Raw genomic sequence first — 26,751 nt, forward strand, 5'->3', positions numbered from 1 at the left:
AGTGAAATCTGAGGACAGCGCCTTGACACTTTGTTCTGGGTTTTACATCCATCTAGCAAATATTCGACTCGTGGCTCTACAGGCACCTTGACATTTTAATATATGAGTATTTGTTTTTATATATTAGGATTTCCAGGGATCCATTGTGTTTTATTTTTTGGTAAGTATAACATAGCTGAAAATTACTTGGGAAACTTTGTGGTCCTAGCAGATGAAGTGGTGTTTTTCTCCTAGTACTCATTGCCAACTTTATTCTCCTCGGGTAGCTTTAAGGTACTATTGTTTTCCAAGTACACTTGAAGGCGCACACTGCCCGGGGGAAGTTGGCCATGTCCTGTGTTGGGCATCCTTGCTAGGAAGAGTGGTTCCACTACATAGGTGACCTAACTTTTTGTTGACTCGAAATTTTGTCATAAAAACCACTCCTTGGTTCTACCCTAGATGACAAGTACTTGTTAGGATAGACTTCTCCTATAAATGAAAGGAACATGGGAATTTTGCTAAGGGAATATACTTTATTCTAGTAGAAGGGGATGGATTCCCACTTATTGGTGAGATTGTAGCCCAAAGTTGAGAATCCATCTACTTGTGGAGTGAAGGAAGTCGTGTGTGTGTGTGTGTGTGTGTGTGTGTGTGTGTGTCTGTGTCTGTGTGTGTTGTATATTCTGTGTATGAATGTTGTAGCCTAGACGAATGTAGACATTCTCTTTTTCACTATAAGACACCTTCAGCCTAGGTGTCAACCAGGTCGAGATGTGGTTAGGGAGCCAGAAAGCTGGAGGAGTAACTAATTCTACTGCGGTCCTATATGGTTTGCTCACATTCTGTTTTCAGAACATTTGAAACACACTCCGTTTCAGCACACTCCACCCTTACCCAGAAAAAACAAAACAAAACTATGAAATAATCTAAAGTAATAGAGAATGAGTTTGTGTGTTTTTGTCCTTCTCTGCAGTGTCACTGTTTTTTACATATTTAACTCATTGAGTCCTCATGGCAACACTGAGCAGTAAGTGCTATTTATCACCATTTTACAGGAAGATGTTCAGAGATTAAACAGTGTGAGTTCCTCGAGCTGCTTTGCCATGTAGAAGTGAATCCTAACTCTGCTTCTCACCCCTCACTTTCAGTTTCCCCAGCCAGAACATCCCCTGAAGATGGCAGAGGAGAGCAGCTGTACCAGGGATTGCATGTCCTTCAGCGTGCTCAACTGGGATCAGGTTAGCCGGCTGCATGAGGTCCTCACTGAAGTTGTACCTATCCACGGACGAGGCAACTTTCCAACCTTGGAGATAACTCTGAAGGACATCGTCCAGACCGTCCGCAGTCGGCTGGAGGAGGCAGGCATCAAAGTGCACGACGTCCGGCTGAATGGCTCCGCAGCTGGCCACGTTTTGGTCAAAGACAATGGCTTGGGCTGCAAAGACCTGGACCTAATCTTCCATGTGGCTCTTCCAACAGAGGCAGAATTTCAGCTGGTTAGAGATGTGGTTCTGTGTTCCCTTCTGAACTTCCTGCCAGAGGGTGTGAACAAGCTCAAAATCAGTCCAGTCACTCTGAAGGAGGCATATGTGCAGAAGCTAGTGAAGGTTTGCACGGACACTGACCGCTGGAGCCTGATCTCCCTCTCCAACAAGAACGGGAAGAACGTGGAGCTGAAGTTTGTCGACTCCATTCGGCGTCAGTTTGAGTTCAGTGTGGACTCTTTCCAAATCATCCTGGATTCTTTGCTTTTCTTCTATGACTGTTCCAATAATCCCATCTCTGAGCACTTCCACCCCACCGTGATTGGGGAGAGCATGTACGGGGACTTTGAGGAAGCTTTTGACCATCTGCAGAACAGACTGATCGCCACCAAGAACCCAGAAGAAATCAGAGGCGGGGGACTTCTCAAGTACAGCAACCTTCTTGTGCGGGACTTCAGGCCCACAGACCAGGAAGAAATCAAAACTCTAGAGCGCTACATGTGCTCCAGGTTCTTCATCGACTTCCCGGACATCCTTGAACAGCAGAGGAAGTTGGAGACTTACCTTCAAAACCACTTCGCTGAAGAAGAGAGAAGCAAGTACGACTACCTCATGATCCTTCGCAGGGTGGTGAACGAGAGCACCGTGTGTCTCATGGGGCATGAACGCAGGCAGACTCTGAACCTCATCTCCCTCCTGGCCTTGCGTGTGCTGGCGGAACAAAACATCATCCCCAGTGCCACCAACGTCACCTGTTACTACCAGCCGGCCCCTTACGTCAGTGATGGCAACTTCAGCAACTACTACGTTGCCCATCCTCCAGTCACCTACAGCCAGCCTTACCCTACCTGGCTGCCCTGTAACTAACCTTGAGACCTGAGGGTTTCCACAGTGGGAACCCCAATAGGGCTAGGGCTCTCAGGTAGGGGAGCCTCCTTCTAGATGTAGGCATTTGGCTTTTAAAGGGGAACTCAGCTCTGATTCTGCTTTTTTTTTTTTTTTTCCTTTGTGTACCCATTGGAATGGGTCTACAGTGTATCATGAGCCAACCCTCAAAGGACCCGTATTACAGTGCCACGTTGGAAAACGCTACAGGAAGCATGACCTATCCACATCTTTCCAAGATAGACACTAACATGTCATGTCCCAAACATTAGCACGTGGGGGTTGAGCTCTGTGCAGTAATCGAGATTGGGAGAATTTGGGCAGCGCGTGAGAAGTGCTAAGCTACTTGTTTTCTCACTTGAGCCCGGGTAGGCTGTGTTGGCCCTCACTTGGGATTCTCAGCAGTTACATGAAAGTTGTGCTGATAATCTCTTCTCTTGTACCAATTTTAGTCAGGCAGAAAATGGTAAACATGAGGGTGCTCTTGTGACTTAATTTTTGTTCAAGGGACTAAATTGCTTATGTTTATTCCCTGTCAGCGGAGTGGAGAATGTCATTCATCAATAAACCAAAGCCAATAGCTGGAGAATTGAGATCTGGTTGAAAGTGGTTTATGGTTTACATGCTGTACTATCCTGAGGAATTGCGAGATATTGCTGAGGGGAAAAAAAAATGACCTTTTCTTGAAATGTAACTTGAAAACAAAATAAAATGTGGAACATAATGTTTAATTAGAATTGTGGTGGTGGTAGTGGAAGGGGATAATTGTAAATAGGAAACATGAATGTTCATTTTTTTCTTTAAAGAATTCTTATTAAATGGCTCCCTGCCTTTTTTTTCTTTTTTCCTCATCAGCTCTTTCATGGCTGAATTTTGTTTTATTCTTCCTAAGACTGAGGATTGTGCTGAGTCCAGAGTCATTGTGGTAACTGACATGAGGGTCTTCCCATGTTTTAACTGGAAACCCACTTTGGTCACATTCCAAGTATGACACAGCTGTTCTTCTGGAGTACTTTAGCTATTTTTTGTTTTTGTTCTTTTCGTTTTTTTTTTTTCCAAAAATAGTGACTTCCTTCTCCAGGTGTGTTTGACAGCAACTCAATTCAGGAATTTCGGTAGAACTGAGTGACCTGTGGAACTGCTTTAGAATCTAACCTGCTGTCTTCGTGCTCTGTGTGAAGGGGAAGCTGGGGGGTTAGCATGAAGTCTGGCCTTGTGTGCATTGGAGCTTCCAAGGCACTTTGAAATCATTCCAGTATATTTGGGAAGAATTGAGTGAATGAGAATGCTCTTCCTTATTCTGGTAGATTTGACTTGTTTATAATTCTGCACTTTAGAAGAAAAACAGTGTTAATCTGTAGTTGAAAGAAAGCTTAGTAGATGAGAGAGTTCTAGGCTACTGTGGCTTTTTCCAGTAGATTTAGATGAGATTATGTGTTTTGAAATGTTTTGTGGGATCCCTTAGAAAGCATCACTTCAGGGCAGAGACACTCAATATTGCCAGCCAGCTTGGGTTCTAAAGTGATTTAATCAAATTCATGCTCCTGATCTTTTTTTTCCCCCTTCCTTTGGCTATGAAAACCCAAAGCCCGGAGTGATTGTTTTCTCCTTGCTTTAAGCAGTGAAGTTATCCTAATGCAAAAGAGCTTAGTAGAAAATGAGTGGTTTACCTTTTTTTCTAAAAGTATATTTTCAAGTTTATTCTGGAATGTGATGTCTTGGTCCTCTTAAAAGCAGATCAGCCATGACTGAAACTCAAGGCTTAGCTGGTATCTATGTTGTGCTACATTAGGTGACTAGAAGCCACTTCTTAGTGTAATCAGCTCCTGTTTCCCTGTGAGCCTTAGTTATATTTTAATTCAGTGGCTTTGAGTCAAGGCCGGTTCTAATTGAGGGGACCCAGTGTGCTTCAGTGTTAAGAGTGGGGCAATGAAGAGTGAACCCCAATGAAGAGTGATCCCAACTTTGGAAACTATCTGGTCATTCATGACCTTAAAAAGCTGCCATGGTGGTCAAATGGCATGTGTTTGCACAAAAATGACCGATGTGTTTAACCAAAGCTTTGAAATGTGATGAAGCCACCAACATAAGCACTTGCCTAACAGAAATCAGTATTTCTTCTACTTAGAAGGCTTGGGGCCCAGGGTAATGAGGCACCAGATGAAGATAAGATCTGCATCAAGGAATTAAATTTCCAGTTTGTCCTTGGGGTTCTTTCTGCTTATGTTTTTTCCCCCCCATCTGGTAATAGTCCTCTTCTGAGAATGAAAGGAGGCACAGAAGTTGCGAGAAAGACCCAGTCCCCAGTCTTTGCCACCATTGCACCATGGTTGTCTCGGAGTCCCTTCACCTGACCTTTTTAGTCAGCTCAGATCTTTTTGTAGTTTGAGAATAGACCTATTCAAGAGCTATCAGGGTTAAAAGCTGCACTGACCAAAGCTGTACTTTTAAAACACAACCCCTGGGCTAGTGATGTCTCTACTTGCTCTATGAGCCTTTTGCCAGCCTCAGAATAGGCGAGGTAACCTTGAATTTCAGGGCCCTGGAAACTCTAGCTGAAACCTGCCTTTCCTAATGCTCACACAAGCACCAGGTACCCTGAGCTTATACTGAGTCCAGTGGTTCCTATTTTATGTGTGTGTGTATGTGTGTGTGTTGAGTAACATGAAACTTGGCAGTAGCAGAGAGCACTGAAGTTCACATGCAAGTTCTAATCTAAAGTTAAGCAGTCTCTTATTTGTTTCGGGACTCTGATTTGACTCTTTTTCTGATGCTTTCGGCATGTCTGCAGCCTGTTCTCCTAGCCTGCTGCTTGGAGTCAGGTTGAGCATCAGTGAGATGAAGACAGTACCTTTTCCTCTCACATTGGCAGAATAGCACGCACTAGATGCCTGACCTTGAGCTCTAGTCTCCCCTTTAAATCTTACCTTGGCAGTAACACATTATTCCTCATTCAATAATTTCAATGCTGAAACTGAACTCTATTACTAATGCCTTCCAATCAGAGTTCCTGATGGGGATGCCTGTGGGATGGCCCACACCTGGGGGACCTGGCAGATGGGGTGAGTTGGGTAAGGAAGATGATGCTTAGTTCCTGATAGATGCTACAGATGTAGTTTGGCATTTCAGTTTTTGTCCAGTTTGATTTTCACTGGGGTTTGAGTCACAGCAAGCTGTGTATGAACTTGTGTTTTGTGGTGACACATTAATAATCAAATTGCTAAAACCCTGAATCTGCTTATTCTTCAGCTTCACCTCTGCACTAACCCCTTACCCTTATGGTACGTCAGGATTTTAACTAGTACTGCTTTGTTGACTTTGGGAAATGGTGCCACTCAAAAGCAACTTCCTAACTTGAGGAATAACTCCTTTGTAGTTTACTTTCTGGTACTGGTTGGTGCCTTGTATTGGGATACAGCTATATTCTTAGCTCAAATGTCCTCTTTTTGAGAGCAAAGTAGTTATCCAATGGTGAGACGAGACCCTGACGCTCATAGAGGCCATTCCTTCCTGGGTGTCGGACCAGGGCTCTGTGTCAGGGAAAACCTTCTGGGTGGACTTTGTAAGAATCCAGTTTCCAAGGTTAGATTCACATCCTTAATCTTGCAGAGACTAGAATTTCACAGCTCGCTTTGGAACATATTCCAATTCAACCAGTTAAAATCAGAGGACCAAGTCGTGGGGGAGGGGGGCGGTGTTGAGGAGAGGTATTTTTAAAGATCTGGCAACTTTTCAGGATTATTTGTGGAGAACTCTAAGGTTAAGATCAGGAAATAAAAGACTGTGTGTGTGTGTGTGTGTGCGTGTGTGTGTTCAAGTGCCTAAATCTTGTTTACCTATCACTTTAAAAAAATAATTGAAGTGTAAGCTAAATAAAATGCTTGGAGTTTTGCCTGGGCTAGTGAGAGTTGGTGCAAATTCTTGTGTGTGTTTGCATAGGAAGGTGAGATGACCATCTACTAAAGAGGAAGTAGCTAAATACAGATCTGTGGGTGTTTTTAAAAAAACTCAACCTATCTGGTGTTTTATTTTAATGGATAAAAATGTAATTTTTCTAAGGTAGCAACTTATTTCCAAATTAATATAGATGAAAAATAGATACCAATTAGACTAAATTGAAAGCTTTTTGTTCTATATTTGCATAGCCTTTGAAATATTTCTTAGTGCCTAGGAGGTCTGGGGATTCCTCTTTCGTGGTGGTCACTAACCTTACTTGATGCAGATAAAATCACTTGTCAATGCAAAATGTGTTAGAACTTGATAAAGCTTTGAGTTTGAGAAATAAAGGTATATTTAAAATTTAAATAAAACTTGTCATTTATGCTCATTGATTTGTTTCTTCTCAATGATGAATTTTAGGTTTTAGGAAACATTGAATAGAAATAGGAAGCTGTCAACATCAGCCTTGGATGCTTCTCTGAAGGACAGATGCTTTTTTGAGGGGGGAGGGCTGTGTGGTTACCTTGGAGACCACAAATCCCTTAATATTTGGGCTCTTTTTCAAGGTGCCCAGCTAACTTAAACTAGGCTTCGTTGTTGACCACAGCCTTTCAGCTAATACCCACGGCAGGTGTAGTCTTGCAGTTCGCCTTTGCTGGCACCTTGTTTAATTCAGTCCCTTTAGCTCCTAGCCCACTTCAACAACAACAAAGAAAACAACTTCAGCCATACATGTACAACTACTGTAGTTTCTTCACATTTTTAAAGAAGTATAGAAGTGAACAAGTGATACTTGGAGTGGTTGATAGATGTTTGAAGGGTATAAAGAGATGCTGTAGACTTTGGTTAGCAACCTTCCTCCTCATTCCTTTGATCTAATTCACAACAACCCCTGCCCACCCCAAGTCTTGCCCCTTCCGTGGCCTCCCTTCTTTGTGGAATTTCTTTGAAATCCTATGGCATTCTCCTAACTGTCCTCATGAAACTTATGTCTTTGGCTGTGTAAAATCCTTCATCCCCTTGCCTCCACCTGTCCCTGCTCCTCCTCAAACCTTTCAGCCAAGGATGTGCATGCTCTGGAGTCTGGTAGGTGTGGAGTCCTTCCAATCACTTCTTTGGCATGTTTACTCAATAAGTAACCCTCACTCCTCTTAAGCCCTGACTGCCAGCTCACACTCTCCATGTTGCCTCTTCACTCCTCCCTTCATTCTGCCCATCCACATCCATGTCAGTGGCCTCTTTAGCTTTATGATGGACTACCTCTGTTCTAGTCATCTACTCACATCGGTTAGACACTGTCTGGATCTAGAACTGTTCATGAAGGCTGGGGTGACATTCTTCTCTTTTCACTACAAGAATTGGGATCATTGAAGAGCAATTTTCTGATCTTATGCTTGCCCATCAGCCATCCCCACGATCTTCTTCCTCCCCATTTTTACTGCGTGTACCTTCTGAAATGTTCCTTGACTCTGCCCTCTTGGTTGCCTTCAGCTCTTGCTTGGGCTATTTCATGAGTCTTGTCTCTATTTTTCTTGACTCTGTCAAGGGCTTTTTCTAAAACAGATGTGCCTGGGCCCCTCCCATACATTAAAACCTGTGTAAGACCCTACTGTGCAAGAGCAGATGTCAGACTCAACATGTCTGTGCAAGAGCAGATGTCTGGAGCTAGCTAGCCCCAGTCTACCTTCCTATCCTTTGACCTACTATACTAAGCTGGCCTACTTGGAGTTCTGGAGCACACAGCTTCTTCCGTGCACGTGACCCCACAGCAGGCTTCTAAAATCTCAGCTAATCCTCACCTCCTCTGGCTTACCAGGCCCTATGTCTGCCACCTCCCCCTTCCTGCTTTTTCTATTCGTGTTCTTACTGGGTTGCATCAGCTCTTCACCCACATTGTGAACACCTGCGTGCTTCATTCTCTGCCCACTTTTCACATAACTGGCATAGATTTGGTGCTTCAAATGTTGAACTGGATGGGTTTTCCCTGGAGGACTTGTCCTTGGGCCATTAGCCACTTAGAGGCTGAATCCTGGATATTTACCTGAATGTGTTGTAATGCCTCATTTTGGTGCCAGAAACCATTTCAGTCCCCTTGTCCAGACCAATATTTATACGCAGGACAACTTGTGTGGGATGTGCTGGTGCCCAGCTTCCTGGAATGAGTAGTCATGTCCCGGACACTAACACAATTGAACACAAGCTCTTGGCCCCTGAGCAAGGTCAGTACTAAGGGTTGCAGTCTTCACGCTCAGCAGTATTATTTCAAACTCCCCACCCACCCAGTCCTCCTGGCAGACCTATCCTTCTGGTGTTTTAGTAGAATTCCTCTCATGCCATCCCCAAGTGTTCATTCCTCAGCCTTGGAATGAAGCTCCCGTCGTTGCCACCCGGGACCTCTAGGGTTCCAGAAGTACACTTCTAAACGAGCGGGGATTCTTTTTCTCCTTCACTGTCCGAGTAGTCGCCTGGGCGGGATAGTAATGCGCTTGGTTGTAATCTGGGGTTAGTATCAGCTGGAAGATGCTGAGAGCATCAGCAGGACCTGTGGGGGTTTTCCATATGACCTCTGAGCAGCCAGAGCCTCAGTGTGATGGTGCCATTCTGCCACCTTACCTTGGCCTGGAGCCTCATCCTCTCCAGAGGCCTTCAGCTCCGTATGCACTTATGGCAGGTGGAGTCAGAGGCAAGTCAGGGGTGGTGCCCAGACTGGGCTGAGTGGTCTACCCCTGCTCCCTGCCTAAAAGCTGAGTCAAGCGACTTCCTGTCCGAAGTGACGGCATTGGACCTGGGGCCACGGTGCTGGTTTCCTGCCTCCTGGCCCTGTGCCTTCTGCAACACGGGACTGTGTCCTTCCCTGGGGATAAATGCTACCTAGAAGCATGTGCTGCCCTGGCGGTGAGCCACTCCTCAGTACTCTGACTGTCATCACTCTCTCAAGCAGGTTTCTGTCAGTGCCGCCCAGAATCTAGGGAGCTGGAGCCTGTCGGGAGGCTTGGTTTCATACCATTCCTCACCCAGCTCAGAGCAACGCAGGCTACCTGTTCTGGCCATGACTGGATCACAGGTCTCCCAGCTCAGGGCATTTTCACCACAGCAGGCCATCCCAGGGCCACCTTTTACTTAGGAAGTTTCCGAAAATGGGAAATGTCCCTAAGGGAAAGGCATGAGAAGCTGGAGTCGCTGCCTTTCTTTCGGGTGCTTCCCTGGAAAAAAGGTATCCGAGGCTATAGTGTTCGAGAGAGAGAGAGATGGAGACGGGCAGCACCACAGCAACTTTGGCCAGGCTGTTTTCAGCCATTTCAATCCATCCCTTCCATATGGATAGTAAATGAGGTTTTTCTCAAGAGGCCTGTTGGGAACTAAACCCATGAGAAAATGGAATGAGAACTCCTCACTTTAGACTAAGGCTTTAGGTTGACCAAGTACACATTGCATATACATAGCTTGCAGGTCTCAGAAACGTGAGCTAGGTAGCAGTGTTTCCACTGTACACAGGAGCCAGAGGCTCAGTGCGCCTCTGAGTTGCCCAGGGTTACGTATCTTGTAAGAGACAGAGCCCATGCACAAAGATTTGACTGCAAAGCCTGGTTCCCCCACTATTACAACACTGAAAACACTCTGTAAACTATAACTCACCCTGCAAATATTAGTTTTTATGTCAGCCCCCTCTCAAGGGCCTAAGAGGTGTTGAGTTGCCTGGTAATAGATCCGTTTCCACTTATCCAGGAAAGGAATTCCTTGGACAAACCAGCAGCTTTCCTCAGACAACCCTCCCTTTGTGAATCAGGTGTGGGGGGACCCATTGCAGGCTCGTTAACATGTTTGGGGAATGCTCATGGAGCACCAGGTCCCATGCTAAGCATTAGCATTTAATCTTCCAAAAAGTCTGAGATAGGATGATTAGGTTTACAGGTGAGGAAACCTAAACGTCATACAGCTGCTGCAGCCAGCACCTGGCTCTGGGGTGTCTGACTCCCAGGCTCCAGCTGTCAGTTCTTTTACAGTATGCTATTTTGTCTTTGTCCTGCATTTTACAGGGTGGCACATGGAAGAGGCACGGGAGAGCAAATATCCTGCCTTCCAACAGAAGCCTTTCAAGAGGAATGAGGAGGAGGACAAAGCCACTGATTAAATTGATTAGTTAAAATTAAAAATTAAGCCAACTGATGAAGTTAAAATAGGGTGCCTATTGTGGTTGGCATGGCATTTTAAATTAGAATTGAAATGGAAACAGCATCACAGTTTCCCCCACACCTTATCCAGGCAGCCATGTACTATGGGGGTATTTAAACTACCTGCAGGCTGGAGAGGAGGGCGGGGGAGTGCAGGAGGGCTTTTGCAGAAGTCAGGAAACCAGCTCACCTGCAATGCTGAAACAATGAAACCAAGAAGGGAGGGGAGTCAGAAAACTAATAGCACAACCCTAAGCAGTTCCTGGAGTCAAACACCTGTGGTTTTTCATGCACTAAATATAGTGGAAGTTGGGTCATCTTATCCTTAAATAAACACTACAGCTAGCAAAGACTTTTTTGAAAAGAATCTTTACATTGGCTCAGGTAAGCGGGAGCCTGGGAGAAGCAGCGCTTGGGTGGCTGTGAATGGTCTGCGGCAGCCTCTGGTCCTCATATCCCCTGCTATCTCAGGATCCCACACAAAACATTCCTCTGTGGTTTTTTCCCTGCTCTTAAGTCAACTGCATGTACCTTGTTGTCCCTGTGCCCTTCATCCCCTCCCCCTACCGTGAGAGATCAGTTTCCTTGGCCTTCACCTGATCTGACCAGGAACAGCAGGAGAGGTGCTCCCTCTCTCTCTCTAGCTCTGGCAAAAGAGGCAGCTTTTCAGCAGGCTTATTTTCCATCCTACTTTAGATATTACTGAAAGGAAATGAACTCTTCTTTGACTTTGCCTTTTGAATTTTGGATGCTGCTGAATCGGGCACAGTCCCTCCTTTAGGAAACATTAAACCAGAGGCTTGTGGCCAGGTTTCTGGCTTGCTGTTTGAGTGGCAGTTTGGTGCCCAGTAGGGTTCAAGGGATTCAAAGTGAGGAGCCCTTTACAGACAGGCAGTGGGGCAGAAGAGCTGGAGCTTTGGAGCTGGAGACTCCAGCTCAGCATGCTCCTCTGCTCCCCTTGTGATTGCATAAACCGCTCCAAGCCCAGTGCCCTTGTGGGTACAATGCAGGTGATGATGATGCCGGCTTTGGGGCTCCTAAGAATTAGGAAAGCCAGGTATTTTTTTAATAAAGCTCCAAGCCCAGTACCGGGTGCCCGTAGACGGTATCTATTACTTGATATCCTCTGCTCTAGAGGAGTTTACAGTCTGCTTTGGGAGTTAAGAGAAATGTCTTAAGTGGTATTTAAAGCATTAACATATGTGTGCCACAGATTCTTTGGTTCTGCTGGACATCAGGAAGTAAAAACACTGGCTACAATTTATTAAGACCTAAAGAGGCCAGTTAAGGGCATGATACACACTTTCACGATGCTCGTGACAGCCCTGCCAGCTAAGGGCAGTAGTCTCTCTCCCTACTCCACCCACTACTTAACGGAAGAGAAACTAAGGCTCAGAGAGGTTGAGCAACACACCACAGCCTGCACAGCTGCCTGGGCTGGCAGTTTCACACCTGGCGCCAAGACAGTGTGGACCGTGTCCAGCTGCTGGGCTGGGAGCCTAGGGCACTGGCCAGTGCTCTGTCCTGGCCGACTGCCCTGATGCCCATTGGCCTGTGGGTTGCAATATCATCATAATTCCTACTAAGCAACCCATTAGCCTCACTCTTGAGGTATTGCCAACTCACCGAAGTTCCCCAGAACTTCAGACCCACTTCTCCCACTCCTCTGCTGAGGGTAAGCAGAGAATGAAAGGTACTGCTCCGGAGGACTGTGGCAAACTCTATACACTGAAGTCATTTTGTCCTTTCACTGAGCAACTTCCCTGTACCAGGAATTAGAATCTGCACATTGAAAAGGCCCAGAACCCTCCTGCTCTAGTGTGGCAGGCACTTTTGTAAATGTGTGACCTGCTGGTTTTGCTGGGATGTGCACATTTCTAATAATGGTGTTGATCAACAAAGAGGACTTTGCATGGCAGGGGCGTGCCCTCCCTCCAAAGCTGCTGTTTCAGAGGTTCCTCCACCATGCAAGCCCTGGACCTGGGACACACTCACAGTCCCTAACATGGTTGTGTTTTCCTGTGAGACAAGTGCCTCTTCCACCCGAAGAGCATTTAGTGACTTCAAATAGGGTCAGCGGTCCAGGCCTGGTGAAAGAGGGCAGGGAGAGAGACCCTGCTCAGCCACGGGGGATCAGCTCGGGTGAGTCTCTGACCCCACCACGGTGGAAACCAATTAGAGAAATAACTTACTGGGGACATGATGAGGGTTGTTCTGAATCCAGAGGCAGCAATCTTTTTCTGCAAAGGCCTAAATAGTCAATATCATAGGCTTTGCGGGTCTCTGTCACAAATATTCCACCAATGTTGTATCACAGAAGCAGCCATCAATGACACACAAGGCTGTTCCCATAGAACTGTATTTATGGACACTGACATTCGAATTTCATGTCATTTTTACGTAGCATGAAATATTCCTTTGATTTTCCCCAATCATTTAAAATCCAGCCTATTTTGGCTGTTCACAAACCAGCAGCAGGACAGATTTGGCCCACTGGCTGGAGTTTCCAACCCATGAACTAGAGGACAGGGTGCCTCAGGGCAAGACCCTCCCCCTGTTTTTTTCTGCCTTCCTCCCGCCCCCACCATGTTCCTCAGTAAGGTAGAACTGCAGACTGCCAGTCCTGTGAGCTGGGTATTACCTGCCTCCTTAGTGGTTCCTCCATTGCACCTCCTCAGGGTTGGTTGTGGTTGCCCGTTGACAGCATGAGTTGCTGTCACTGCAACTCTGAAGCTGGGCCTTGAAGTTCCAACCACGTGGGCTTCACTGCCCTCTGGTCCCAGATGGTCCTGTTGGCCCACCTTCCACCATGCCCCTCACCACTGGAGAATCTCCTCTTCCCATCAGGGTCACAATTTCGGATGTTCCCAGCAAGTGTAGACTTCCTTCCTCAGTTCTTCATAGAGCCCCCAAATATTAGAACACCTGCTAGGCAGGCTGGTTCTACTCCTTAGAACTCCTCTGAAAGAGCTTGGGACAATTTGTTTGGAATTTAAAGTTGCACCCCATATTGTTGTGTCAATATATCCTTCCTGCCCACAGTCCCCAGGTGCACCCCCAAGGCTAACTTAGGACCCCCTTTGTTCTGGTGTCCTGAGGGTGGACTGCAGAGCCCTTTACCACTTTCCTGTGGGGGCAGTGGGTAGGGACTGTTTGAAAATGCAGCAGCCCACTGGACCCCCAGGCATGGCCAGCAAAGTCAGCCCCACTGGAATCAGACTCCTGGCCCCGGGAGCTCAGCCTCTTTGCCTGCAGCATGGATGCAGGTTGTCAGAAGTTGGAGAAATGAAATCCAGACATACCAAATGCTCCTGATGAGAGGACGTTCCAAATGGAAAACTATCCATTCAGACTTACCCTTGATGAGTCCAAAGGGGGATAGGGAGAACCCTGACGATATCAGTGTAACTCTGCGGGCCATTCAGGTTTGCAAGGGAAAAGATGAAGGAAAGGCCATCATGAAAAAGGCTTCACTCTGCCAAGAATAAGTCAAGAATACTCAAGTTGGCCGGGAGCAGTGGCTCACGCCTATAATCCCAGCACTTTGAGAGGCCAAAGCAGGAGGATTGCTTGGGCCTAGGATTTCAAGACCAGCCTGGGCAACATAGCGAGACCCCATCCCAAGTCATTAAAAACAATTTATTTTTAAAAGAATGCTTAAGCCGTGAAGGAAGTTGTCTGAAAAATAATAAGTTTCAATAAGAACAGGCAGAGGATAGCCCTACTGCCTAGGGAGGGAGAGGCTGAAGTGAATGAGGCTGCGAAAAGAGCCCAGTGCTTGCTTCCTCTTGGGCTTCTCTCTTTTCCATTGCAGAGGGAACAGGCACTGAGAGTGAGAACTGAGTGGGCTGGGGAGCTGGATGGACTTTACCCTGCCATTTCCTAACCCTGTGACATTTGACAAGCTCTCTTTCTGTGGCTATAGAAATGGGGATGCTTACCTGCTGCAGTTAGTATAAGGATTAGAGGAGGTAAACTTAGTAAAGACCCTAGCACTATGTCGACAGTTAATAAACAGTAGTCTAGATATGTGAGTACGGGTGCTTAAACAAAGCGATTCATCAGTAAAGAAGCAACCTTCATTTTGGTCCTCTGGTGCCTGATTAAAATCACCTAGAGTGCTAGTTCAAAATGCAGACTCCCAGGATCCCGCCCTCAGATTCTGATTTAGAGGGACTGCGGAAGGGCTGAGGAAGGGCCAGGGAATCATGTCCAGATAGTTCTCAGGTGCCCTGGAGTTTGGAAGCCGCAGTCCTAAGGGTTAAGGAGGAGGTGCATGATGGGAACAGGGACAGTGGGAGAGTCCTTAGAGCCGGAATGAGGGTGACCAGCCTAGAAGATGACATCCCAGGGGACGGAGGACACTTGAACACATGTCACAGATCTTCATGAGGAAAACATCAGACCAGTAAGCTAGATGTCCACACTTAGGATTCAATTTTTAAAAGGTGGACTCGATTAAAGGGACCGATTTGCCTGTCATTTTTTTTAGACTACTAGATTGGGGGTGGAAAGATTGTTTTGTTTTGTGTTTTTAGTTGCCTATTGTTAGAACAGCGCATTTTTACTTCAGATTAAAAAAAAAATTACTATGCTCGAATGGTGATAAAATCAGGGGGGTTTGTGGTTAGTAGAACAAAACTGAGTCTAAGATTTGACATCCGCACAGCAGGCAGTGATGAGGGATTTCTCACTTCCCCTAATAAAATCCCCAGTGTTGAAGGGAGACTTCCATCAGGAGGCGAAGGTGACCAAGCTGCTCTTCCCTCTGGAGCCCTCACTTCAATGGCCCTGTCCTTCCACTGTCTAGGAAGCTGCTCTTCCTTTGCAGACTGCCTCCAACAGGAGTCCCCATAGGCACCCTTGGTTCCTAGAGCCAGCGGAGACAAGCTGGATGTTTAACAAGATACATTACTAAATTTGTAAAGGAAAATAAATCTAGAGAAAACACAAAGTATAGGACAATATAGAGTATCCTCATGATACTCCCTTATGGAACTAGGTCTTCTGGGCCCCAGTCCACACCCCCAGCTGCCCAGCTCTGTGCTCAAGCTCCCAGGGGCTGGCTGCTGTCCGAGCCTCCACTGATGGGACCCGGTTACTATCACCATGACTCCAAGACCATGTTCTTGACCTCTTGACCCTCCTTAAATTCAGATTCTAGAATCTAGGGACAGATTCCCTGTTGTTCTTTATCCAGGATCTTCCCTTTCAGTTTTTACATCTGCCAAGAGACTTTCCAGCAAAGACCTCACCGTTCAGGTGAGACTCATTCTGCCCCTTCTCTGTGCACCACTAGCTGAGGCATTCATAAGCCAAAGACAAATCACTTACGGGGGCAGTGGATCTGCCCAGGTCCCTAGAGGCCTGCATTTCCCACTTCTCCCTTCAGCCTAAAGCCCTGCTGCAATCAAGTCACCCTGTTCTCAAAAACCTTCAATAGCTCTTCATTGCCTGTAGAATGAGGCTCAGGATCTCTCAACAGCGAATGTTAAAAGGAAGTCTTGGGCCAGACACAGTGGCTCACACCTGTAATCCCAGCACTGTGGGAGGCCGAGGTGGGTGGATCACCTGAGGTCAGGAGTTCAAGACCAACCTGGCCAACATAGTGACACTAGAAATACAGAAATTAGCTGGGCATGGTGGAGTCTATACTAAAAATACAAAATGAGCTGGGCATGGTAGAGTGCACCTGTAGTCCCAGCTACTAGGGAGGCTGAAGCAGGAGAATTGCTTGAACCCAGGAGGCAGAAATTGCAGTGAGCTGAGATCACGCCACTGCACTCCAGCCTGGGCGACTGAGCGAGACTCCACCTCAAAAAATGAAATCAAATAAAAGAAGCCTCAAATCACCTTCCAAGTCTATCTCCCATCCCTCCAAGCCCCACATCCTCCACTATAGCTTCCAGGGCAGTGAGAAGGGAGGATAGGGTGAGGAAGCCCACATTTTATCTGGAAAAATGGTCACCAGTTTCCAATTAATCCCATTTCACTAGGGTGAGAGCTGGTGGGGCACTGGCCTGGACACCAGGAGACCATGTCCTATTCTGGTGTGTGCAGCCTTCTAGCCTCAGGTGAGGCACCAGCCTTTGCTGGGACCCAGTTTCCTTATCTGCAAAATGCAGATATTGGATTAGCCTATCTGTAGGATCCTTGCCTACAGCTCCACAGTGGCCTTTGTGACTCAAAAAAGCTGTGAAGGACTCACTTGCCCAGAGAAAGCCTGACATGATGTGGGACCCTTGCTTATTATGCTGGTGACAGGAGTGATCCTGGGCTTTCTCTGCACTCAGCCTTCTTGTGAGGGAGAAATGGCTCAACTCTATTCAGTGAGCACAGCAGCAGTGCTCAGCCCGTCCTGTGCACACCACTTTGCCAGGTCCTGGAGGTCAGGGAAGGATGAGAAATAGTCCCTGCCCATAAAGAGCTCCTGGGAAATACAAGACAAAAACACACTCGTGTCATGCTGTGGATGAGTACTGTGACAGAGGAGGACAATGTTAGGGTCTCATTGGCAGGGGATGACTGGAAGAAGCCTCAGAAAGCAGGGGCCTTGGAGCTGCACCTTGCAGGATGAGTCCAGTTTGGCTGCACACTCCCTGGGGAATGGGGAGGTAGTGCGGGGCCACTGAAAGCTTTTAGTGGGGGAGTGACAAGAGAAACACCTGCATACAGCAGCTGCTTGGGAGATAGGATCCCTGTGTGGGGACATGAACAATACCCCAAGTACTATTTCGAAAGATTCGTGTTTGTGTTTTGAAAGATCACTGTGGCAACTGTGTCATGGATGAAGGGGCAGAGGTGAGACTGGAAACAGGGAGACCTGAAAGGCAGCTGCAGCAGTGGTCCAGGCAAGGCATGCTGACAGGGTGTAGACCTGAACTTCGGCACAGAACAATTACAGAACCTTTTACAAACCTGGGCATAGCCACAAAGAATTCAATAGTAGAATTTTTTCAGTAGACTCATGGGTGTCAGGCATACCTGTTTATTCTAGTCAGTCATTGTATTTTATATCCTGGAATAGTTTCAATAGTTTCCCTCTCCTTCTTTCTCCCCAATTCAGCTGTCTTCTCCACCTCACCCGACTAACCCCCATAGCATTCTTTTTTTTTTTTTTTTTTTGAGACAGAGTCTCGCTCTTGTCGCTCAGGCTAGAGTGCAGTGGCGTGATCTTGGCTCACTGCAACCTCTGCCTCCCGGGTTCAAGCGATTCTCCTGCCTCAGCCTCCTGAGTAGCTGGGACTACAGAAACCCACCACCACGCCCGGCTAATTTTTGTACTTTTAGTAGAGACAGGGTTTCGCCATGTTGGCCAGGCTGGTCTCAAACTCCTGACCTTAGGCGACTGGCCCACCTCAGCCTCCCAAAATGCTGGGATTACAGGCGTGAGCCACCACACCCAGCCCACCCCCATAGCATTCTACACCCACTCAGCCCCACTTCAAGTATAAGCAGCCTCACAGTGAAAGCCAAAGAAAGTATCTAATTCAGGATTTCTCAAGGATGTGCTTTTGGGACTACGGGCAGAGCAATTCTCTGTTGAGGGACTGTCCCATGCATTGTAGAACATTTAGCACCCTGGTCATTAGGGAGCTGATGGCTCTAGCATCCCCTAGTGATTTTGAGAAGCAAACAGTATCGCCTAGGCTTCCAAACTTCCCTTAGTGGAGCAGTATTTGGGGTATTGTTCCTGCCCCCACACAGGGGTCCTATCTCCCAAGCAGTCGCTGTATGCAGATGTTTCTCTTGCCTGCCATCCCCTGAAAAACCAGCCCCCAGGGACACGTCATCTACCACCTCACCGTCTCACATCAGGGTAGATTGACAGGCTGGAGGGCCCACCCAGTCAGCCTGCATGTATGTCTGAAATAGCTTTATTCTACCCTCATCTTGGATTGAATTTGGCTGAGTATAAAATTCTTGAATTTGGCTGAGCATAAAATTCTAGGCTAGTAGTCATTTTTCTTCGGAATGTGGAGACATTTCCTCATTATAAAATTTTTTTAAAAGCATGTACCCTCTTATTGTAGTCTTAAAAGGTTCATGGAACTAATCTAGGGACAGATTTAGGCAAACAGCAGAATGCTCACCTGAAAAATAAAGTATTAGCAAGATACCAGGGCGATTTGACCCTCGCTGGCAGGTCTTTGGAACCATTAATTATATGCTTGTTTTATTCATGATTTGTAATGTTCTGGGATACCAAAAGTAATTCTAATGGTGGTTGAATTTAACAAAAAAATTAAACCTCATCTTAAAATGTCCACTGATTCATCTCACGCAATGACAATATTCAATGTTTAAAGGAACATAAAAACAAACACGCACACAACTGTGCAGTTTTCATAAAAGTCTATTTCATGATTGGTGAGTAGCATATTTAACAGTTATATACATCTAAACAATGTACAGGTAACTGCAGGACTGCAGCATTGGTAACTACAGAGAGAGAGAGAGCTTATTCAGCTAGAAAGCAGCTAACAAGTAACTGTCTAAAGATTTAAAATACAGCTCTTGTTTAGATCATCCTTCATTTTGATCACCTTCTCAGGGGGAAAAAGCCTGCTCGTCACAATGGAAATACATCAAGGCCAAATCTTCTGCTATCCATTCCCAGAGGTTTCTTTCATCTGGATTAAGCCTGCAACTCCAGGGCAAGGCCAAGTGTGTGGCCTCCAGCATCCATGCTCTTCCCATCTACCAGAGCAGACAGGGTGAGCTTCACACCAGGCCTCAGGGGTGGAGTGTAGCTGACCCCAGTCAACCAGTTGTTGACTTTTGTAGAAATGGAAGCAATGGGTTTCAACTGAAATTTAGCTGCAAGGCCAAAACGAGTGCAGCTGGTACCTGATGTCCAAGCAAGGTTTACTAAAGCATCAAGATCTTCACAAACTTTCTGATAAACTGATCCTCCAAATTCTGCCCCATCATTGACATTAGTGTGCAGCTGGAAGTCCCCAGTCCTGTAGCCCACTGCAAAGTTATTCTTTGTCTGCTTTGACTTGGTGCTGTTAAAGCTCATCTGGTACCCAGCAAGCTGAGCCATGAATTGCAAGTCCAGCAAAATCAAAGTTAACATCACGGCCAAGCTTTACACGCTGCTTCTTGTAAGAGGACTTGATTTTGCCACTTTTCTTTCCTATGTTTGGTGAGAAGCTAGTATCTAATATCATTTTCAAACCTTGACAAATTTGGTCTTCAATTGTGATTTCTGTCCCCAGAGTGTCATCAGTGTTCCATTTTTCTGTGAAAGTCAAATCATACTTGCACCATTTATATTTGGACTCCAAGATCCCAGTAACTTTACCAGTGTCTGTATTAGATGAACCAGACTTTAAGAATTCCACGCCACCACATGACTTTGCTTTTACCTCGTTTCACCAACTTAAAACCAAATCCTTTGTTGAAACCCTCTCTGGGAGCTTTGACAAGGTGAGCGTATGATGGAGGAAGGAAGACACACTGGCTGTGTACAGGTCTGTCGGTAGGTTGACATGGTCAGGCCTCAGGAAGAGGTGATCTGGTGGTCTCCTTAGTGAGGCTGCTGCTGTTGCTCCACTTGCAGGTGAGGCCACTGGACTCACTCATGGAGCTGCACCTGCCATGGCTGGGAGGCAAGGGAAGGAGCTTCATTGTCTTTTAGCTTCTAGTATTGCTGTTGAGAAGTCTGATGCCACTGATGCTTTATCCTTGTATGTGACCTGTTCCCCTAGCCCCTGCCCTTTGAGAGTCTTCTCTTTACTTCTGGTGTTCTGGATTCTATGATAAAGTGCCTTTGTCTGTGTGTGCCTCTGTATGATTTGTATGTGCCTGTGTCTGTGTCTCTGTGTGTGCATGTGTCTAAGTGCCTGTGTCTGTGTTACTATGTGTGTAAGTGCCTATGTCTGTGTGTCTGTGTGCCTGTGTCTGTGTGTGTAAGTGTCTGTGTCTGTGTGTCTGTCTGTGTGCCTGTGTGTAAGTGCCTGTGTCTATGTGTCTGTATGTGTATATGTTTACGTTCACTGTGCTGGGCACTCCATGAGTGATTTTAATCTGAAAGTTATATCCTTCAGTTATGGGAAATTTTCCCTTTACCATTTCTTTAAAAATGTTTTCTCCCTTTTCTCTGTTTTCTCTTTCTGGATTTTGATTATTCAGATGTTTGACCTCTGGACTAATCTAGTGCTACTGTTTATCTCTGGTTTTCAATCAGAATCTCTCTCTCTTTCTCCATCTCTCTCATTTCTCTTTTTCTTTAACTTTCTGAGTGACTTTTGTGAAAAAAACATTGTAAAGTTTCCATTGAATTTCTAAGTTTTGCTATCAAATCTTTAACCTGTTTTTGAACATATACCCCTTTTAAGTTTCCCTTTTCCATTTCACAGGTGCAATATCTTCTATCACTTTGAGAATATTATTTATAAGTTTTGCTGGCATTTTCTTTTGCCCTTGTACTCTCTTTTCTCCCAGTGCCTTTTCTCTGTTAATGTGTCTTATTCCTTGTCTTTGACTTTAGAGGTGTTCTTCAGAAGGCAGGTGATCCTTAGCTACTCATACTTATTTTGGTATGAGTCACATAAAAATTAATTAGAAGCTCTAGTTCATGCATGAACCTCATGGTCTTCCAACCTTCTCTGTATTCAGCCATGTTTTGTTAGGAGACCCCCAGATGTGGATATCTGTAGGTATTGTCTCCTGGGCTGGTCAGTTTCCCCAAGAGGAATCTTATGTCAGCCATATGTATGTCTGGATGTACAAGCCTGACTCACAGTAAAGCATGTGGATTTCACTTAATCCCACTTTCAGAATCAAAAGTCTCAACCATCTTCTGAGCTACTGTTGGTATCTCCAAATCCAGAGCCTCTCTAATTTACCTTCTGCAGAGAGTAAGCCTCCTTTCTTCTACTTGGGTGAACAGGTACCATTGCTGGATAGTACAGGCTTGGGGTATAACTGCTCTTTATGAAGACTTTTTACAAATCCTGTGGTTTTCTGTCCGCCCCCACATTCTGGCTTTCAAAGATATCTGATGTTTCTGATTCCTAAGCCCTGCTGAGGCTTGAGGTGCACATTGGCTTGCTTCTTTTTCATTTTTCCACTTTCTAGCTTTGATTTCAGGGTTCTAAACTCTGCCAAGTCAGTTACCGCTCATCCAACTGCTTCTCAACTTCCCCAAAGCATGTGGATCGCTCTCACCGTCTGCCATTTCTTCTTCCATTCTCATTGTAATTATGAGTGTTTGCCTTTTGTATTCTTTCCCTGTCACTTTTGTTGGGATTAAGGTGAAGGCAGTGTATAGCCTCTTCAGATTTTTTTTTTTTTCAGCTAGCAATATGCATTTTAGGTTCCTCTGTGCTTCTATGCATTCACCTACTGAAGGACATCTTGGTTGCTTCCACGTTTTGGCAATTATGAATAAAGATACTGTAAACACCCATGTGCCATATGCAGGTTTCTGTGTGGACATAAACTTTTAACTTATTTGGGTAAATACCAAGGAGTGAGATTGCAGGATCATCCGGTAAGAGTATGTCCAGGCTTTTGTTGTTGTTGTTGTTGTTCTTGTTTTGTTAAGAAACCACCAAACCCTCTTCCAAAGTGGCTGTACCATTTTGCATTCTCACCAGCAGTGAACGTTGCTCTACATCCTCACTAGCATTTGGTGTTGTCAGTGTTTTGGATTTTAGCTGTTCTAATAGTATAATAATATTTTTAATGTCCTTGTCTCCTAATTCTATAATCTCTGTCAGTTCTCAGTCTAAGTTGATTGGTTTTTTTCCTTATTATGGGCTATATCTTCTTGCCTTTATACATGCCTGAAAATTTTTTATTCATTACAGAAATTGTAAATTTTACCTTATTGGGTACACAATATTTTTGTATTTCTATAAATATTCTTGAGCTTTGTTAGGGATGTAGTTAAGTTTGATCCTTTGGGTCTCTTAAGCTTTGTTAGATAGGACCAGAACTGCATTTCATTGTGGACTAATTTTCCCCCACTATTGAGGGAAGACCCTTTTGAGTACTCTATCTGATGCCCCATGAATGATAAAGTTTTATACTCTGGCTGGTAGGAATAGGACCAATTCCTGGCTCTGTGGACTGTTCTCTCTAATCCTTTAGGGTGCTTCTTTTCCCAACCTTGAGTAGGTTCCTTACCTTTATGCATGGATCAGGATTCAGCTGAAGAGTCCAGGGAGACCCCCTGCAGACCTCTGGGGCTTCCTCTCAGTGGTGCTCTCTCCTCTCTGGTACTCTGCCCTGCACCCTCTAGAGGCCTTGATCTCCCCAGATTCCTAGCTCCATCTCTGAAACTGACATCCTCTTGGCTTCTTCCTTCCTATCTCAGGGGCCTGGAAACTCTCTCCAGCCAGTAAACGGAGGCAGTCACAGGGCTCACCTCCTTTGCTTCCCATCTCTCCGGAATTGCTGCCTTTCATTGCCTGATGTCCAATGTTGTTCAATATTTTGTCTTGTTTTTAATTTTTTCAGCCAAGGAAATAAAAATGGTTTCCTTTATTTCAACTTGGCTGGAGATGGAAGTCTAAAGATTTCTTTTGAATTAAACTAATTCATTAATAAAGACAAATCTTTATTACTGTAGTGTTCAGAACAGATAGACTCCACAGCAGCTGTGGTCATGATAAAAATAAAATCTAGCAAGCACAACCCTTTGGTCTGTGGTTTGGGTAAGCTGTGACGGAGCCACCAGGAGGCTCGTGTTCTCTGGCCACTCCCTCCCTAGACTGGGACCTGCAATGGTAGCAGTCAGTGAATCCATAGTGGAGGCTGGGTCTGATTTCCTGGAAGGCCAGAGGCCAGTCTCTGTCTTTGGGAAGTAGAGCAAGGGCGTAGGATGGTGGGTGAAGATGAAACCATTGGAAAAGTGATTATGATATCATGCTGTTTTTCTTATTAAAAAGTTCCATCTAACCATTTGGAAAAAGGAATATTCCTAAGTAGGGGATTTATGTTGGCAACTTGAGAAAGACCATGTAACTGGATGACTCCCTGGACCTTCATCTCTTATCTCCTGTGGCCTTCTGGTGCTATCCTGCTGTTATCCTGCAGCTCAGGGGGTACAAGTCTCTGGGCCAGCTTGTTTCTCACATACCCAAAGATGAGCCCTTTGATCATAAGCACTTCAAAAATTTTACCTTCATGATAGAATTCTTTCCAAAACGTGTTGCATACTTTCCTGCCTTGGTAAGAATAATAAAATGGCAATACTACTACCACTAATAATGAATGCTTATTGAGTTTGGCACTGTTTAAAGTGCTTTGTGTGTGTTAATTCATTTAATCCTTACAACAGCCCTGTGAAGTGGGTACAAGTATTCTCACCATTTTGTAGATGAGGAAACATACACAAGGAGATTAGGAATTTATCCAAGGCATACAGAGCACACAGCACAATTTTATCTATTCTTGGCCCCCTAGAGATATCACTAGGATCATCAAATATTGGACTGTGGCCATGAATGCAGACATGAACGTGGATGGGCCTACAAGTTTGAGTACGAAACTGAGGCCCCTCGAAGTTAGGTTCCTTGTGAGCCCATTGAGGACTTTGTCGGAGCAGCACTTGTTCTACATGAAAGCCTGCAGAGAAGCAACTCTGGAGGTGTCTCCTAGAAAATAAGAGTCACAGGAGATTGATGAGGACAGGGAAGAGTGGAGAACTGGAAACAACGTGGTTGGGGGAGGCATGGTGGTGGGGGACATTAAAGGTGCACAGATGGCAGCCACAGTGGGCTTCCCTGAGCATGAAGCAGTATGATTGCAGTTGATTCTTCCATAGATTGAATGGGGCCATTCAGACTTGGGCTCACCTGTATTGACGGTGACCCTGACAGTTACCTAACCTTGCCATGGGTTAACTAACACACTGATAAAATAGAGAAAATAGTACTTAAAATTTAGGTATGACTGGCTTGGATTGGCTCAAATATGTATATAAAGTGCTTAGCAGAATGTCCGGAATGTAGTAATAACTCAGTGAATGGTCTTAGCTGTTTTTAATAATGAAGCTCTGGAGTGAGGCCAAGAGGAACAGTTGCCTTTGGTTACATAATCCATCTTGTCCATGACTTTGAATTTAGTCTCAGGGGCACAATGGGCAGGTTTCTCTGGAGGATGCTGGTTCCCTGAGAGGTGAGAAGCTGGGCTAGTAAGCTTGGACCCATGTTCCCACCCCACTGGGCAGCCTTACTGGGCATGGCCCTTTCCGTTCTGGCTCCCTGGGACTTGGCTCACTGAGTTTGGCTCTGGGCAGAGTCGTATGACTGGTCCTCACTGCACCCAGCTTGCTCTGGCGGGTATCAGGTGGCCTGCAGCTTGAAGAACTCCTATGTCAGCAGCTCTGGAAGCCAGCAGCTCTGAGGGAGAGACCAGAGGTCTTGAGCTGGAGACACCCAGAGGCCCAGTGGCAGACTAGTCTAGAACAGGGACATCAGACCTGGCAGCACATGGCTCAGCCCCGTGGAGTACAGACTGCAGTGGCTTCAGCTGGCCCCCAGGCCCCTTCTCCTCTGGCCCAGATATGAACCACGCCCTGTACAGACCGGAGGACTTTACCTCCTAGGAGCCGCAGCTTCCTACAGAAGACCAGTGGGTGTGCCAGCGATGTTAGAATGGGTCCACGTGCCCCAGGAAGGCAGCCTTTTCCGCAGCACAGAAGTGGGAGAGCATAGCTGGAAGGAATGGAGGACAGCGGAGCAGAACTCAGGACCAGAGGGAGGCCTGAAGGAAGTTGTCTTAGTGTAGTCTGGTATAGAAAACTTTTTTAAAAAGAAAAGTAATTTTAGTATTTTCAAATCCTGTATCTAATATTTAAGGGAGAATTGATGCCCTAGGAATTTTCGACATTTTTCTTTTTCACATCAAAACCCATTCTCTAAATGAAATTGCTGGTGGAAGCCGAATGAGGGGAGCAGGTTGAAGCAGGGCAGCTGTGCTGTGGCTGATGCAGGCGCCCGGAGTCCTGCCCCCGCTGCGTGTGGCTCCGTCAGGAAGCCCGAGGCCCACCGCTACAGAAACAAGGGCCATGCTTTGAAACATCTGTAAAATAAGAGAAAGAGAAACCCAGGCGCTGCCAAAAGAAGCAGTGCCCCGTAACAGCCCATGTCCCACTGTGCCTTTTGGGCAGAGGCGTCTCCCATTCTACAGCTTCAAGGTTCAATTCATGCCTCATCTTGAATTCCCACTGATTCTGGACTGGCAGATCCAAGTGAATGAGCATTTTATTTTATTTTATGTATTTTGTGAGATGGAGTCTCGCTGTGTCATTCAGACTGGAGTGCAGTGGCATGATCTCGGCTCACTGCAACCTCCGCCTCCCGGGTTCAAGCGATTCTCCTGCCTCAGCCTCCTGAGTATCTGGGATTATAGGCGCCTGCCACCACACCCGGCTAATTTTTCTATTTTTAGTAGAGACAGGGTTTCACCATGTTGGCCAGGCTGGCTTTGAACTCTTGACCTCGTGTTCCACCCGCCTCGGCCTCCTAAAGCGCTGGGATTACAGGTGTAAGCCACCATGCCTAGCCAGAATGAACATTTTAAAAAGTAACTTTTGAATTAATGAGATAAGATTTACGCTTCATTTTTTTTTTTTCGTATTACCACCCAGTTTGCCAAATGAACCATTGCCAGTACTTGAGAAATCTCAAGAGCCCCCACTGCATCATTCTTGTCTTCCCCAGAGGGTACTGCTATCCTGACCTTTGTGGTACTCTTTTTTTTTTTCTTTTCCTAATAGGTGTATCACCTGTGTATGTATCTCTAAGCACTATAGTTTAGTTCTGCCTGTTTTTAAGCTATATAGAAATGAAATCCTAATTTCATTCTTGTAGAAGTTGCTTCTTTCATTTAGCAGGATGTTTGTACGATTTAGCCGTGTTATTGAATATCTACTTGCAACTGATTTTGAGTGTATCATTTCCATGTCTTTGGGAAAGTCATTTAACTTTTTTGAACCTAGGTTGCCTCATCAGAACTCCAAATTCCTCTCTTACTGGAGAAGAGAGAAGATAAATGTAACACAAGGGTCACAAATCACTACTGGGGATGGGAGAAAAGAGAAGTAGACACTTATCTATGACTACTGACTCCCTTTTCACTGAACTCAAACAGAGAAATGAACATATTTGTGAACAATAGGAGGTTGGGCACTATGCTATGCAGTCTTTCTCTGTGTTAATTGATTAAATTAAGTAATTAAACAAATATTAATTGAGTGCTACTATTGTGCTAAGCATTAGTGATATAAAGATGAACAAGACCTAATCCCTCAAGGAGCTCCAGTTTCA

The 26,751-nt window shown here is 45.6% G+C and overlaps 1 protein-coding gene and 1 pseudogene across 1 annotated transcript in view, besides 3 other annotated features; one reads left to right on the forward strand and one right to left on the reverse strand.

Moving 5' to 3' along the window:
• TENT5C (terminal nucleotidyltransferase 5C) overlaps window positions 1-6,678 on the forward strand; it is a 22,342-nt gene extending 15,664 nt beyond the window's left edge. Inside the window, exon 2 of the mRNA NM_017709.4 lies at window positions 1,131-6,678. Within this exon, the coding sequence (NP_060179.2) occupies window positions 1,158-2,333 (1,176 nt within the window). The 5' untranslated portion in view covers window positions 1,131-1,157 and the 3' untranslated portion in view covers window positions 2,334-6,678. The remainder of the gene's footprint in view (window positions 1-1,130) is intronic.
• Window positions 8,597-9,147: an enhancer, noted in NCBI's record as "H3K27ac-H3K4me1 hESC enhancer chr1:118172930-118173480 (GRCh37/hg19 assembly coordinates)". NCBI's record gives its function as "activates a minimal SCP1, AML or CMV promoter by ChIP-STARR-seq in primed H9 embryonic stem cells {active_cell/tissue: H9 hESC(primed)}" and the evidence as "EXISTENCE:reporter gene assay evidence [ECO:0000049][PMID:30033119]".
• Window positions 9,148-9,698: an enhancer, noted in NCBI's record as "H3K27ac-H3K4me1 hESC enhancer chr1:118173481-118174031 (GRCh37/hg19 assembly coordinates)". NCBI's record gives its function as "activates a minimal SCP1, AML or CMV promoter by ChIP-STARR-seq in primed H9 embryonic stem cells {active_cell/tissue: H9 hESC(primed)}" and the evidence as "EXISTENCE:reporter gene assay evidence [ECO:0000049][PMID:30033119]".
• Window positions 18,629-20,016, reverse strand: VDAC2P3 (VDAC2 pseudogene 3; annotated as a pseudogene).
• Window positions 23,065-23,124: a silencer, noted in NCBI's record as "silent region_1243". NCBI's record gives its function as "represses an Ori minimal core promoter by ATAC-STARR-seq in GM12878 lymphoblastoid cells {active_cell/tissue: GM12878}" and the evidence as "EXISTENCE:reporter gene assay evidence [ECO:0000049][PMID:35858748]".

The sequence above is a fragment of the Homo sapiens genome, chromosome 1 (assembly GCF_000001405.40).
Source record: "Homo sapiens chromosome 1, GRCh38.p14 Primary Assembly".
NCBI classification, from domain to species: Eukaryota; Metazoa; Chordata; class Mammalia; order Primates; family Hominidae; genus Homo; species Homo sapiens.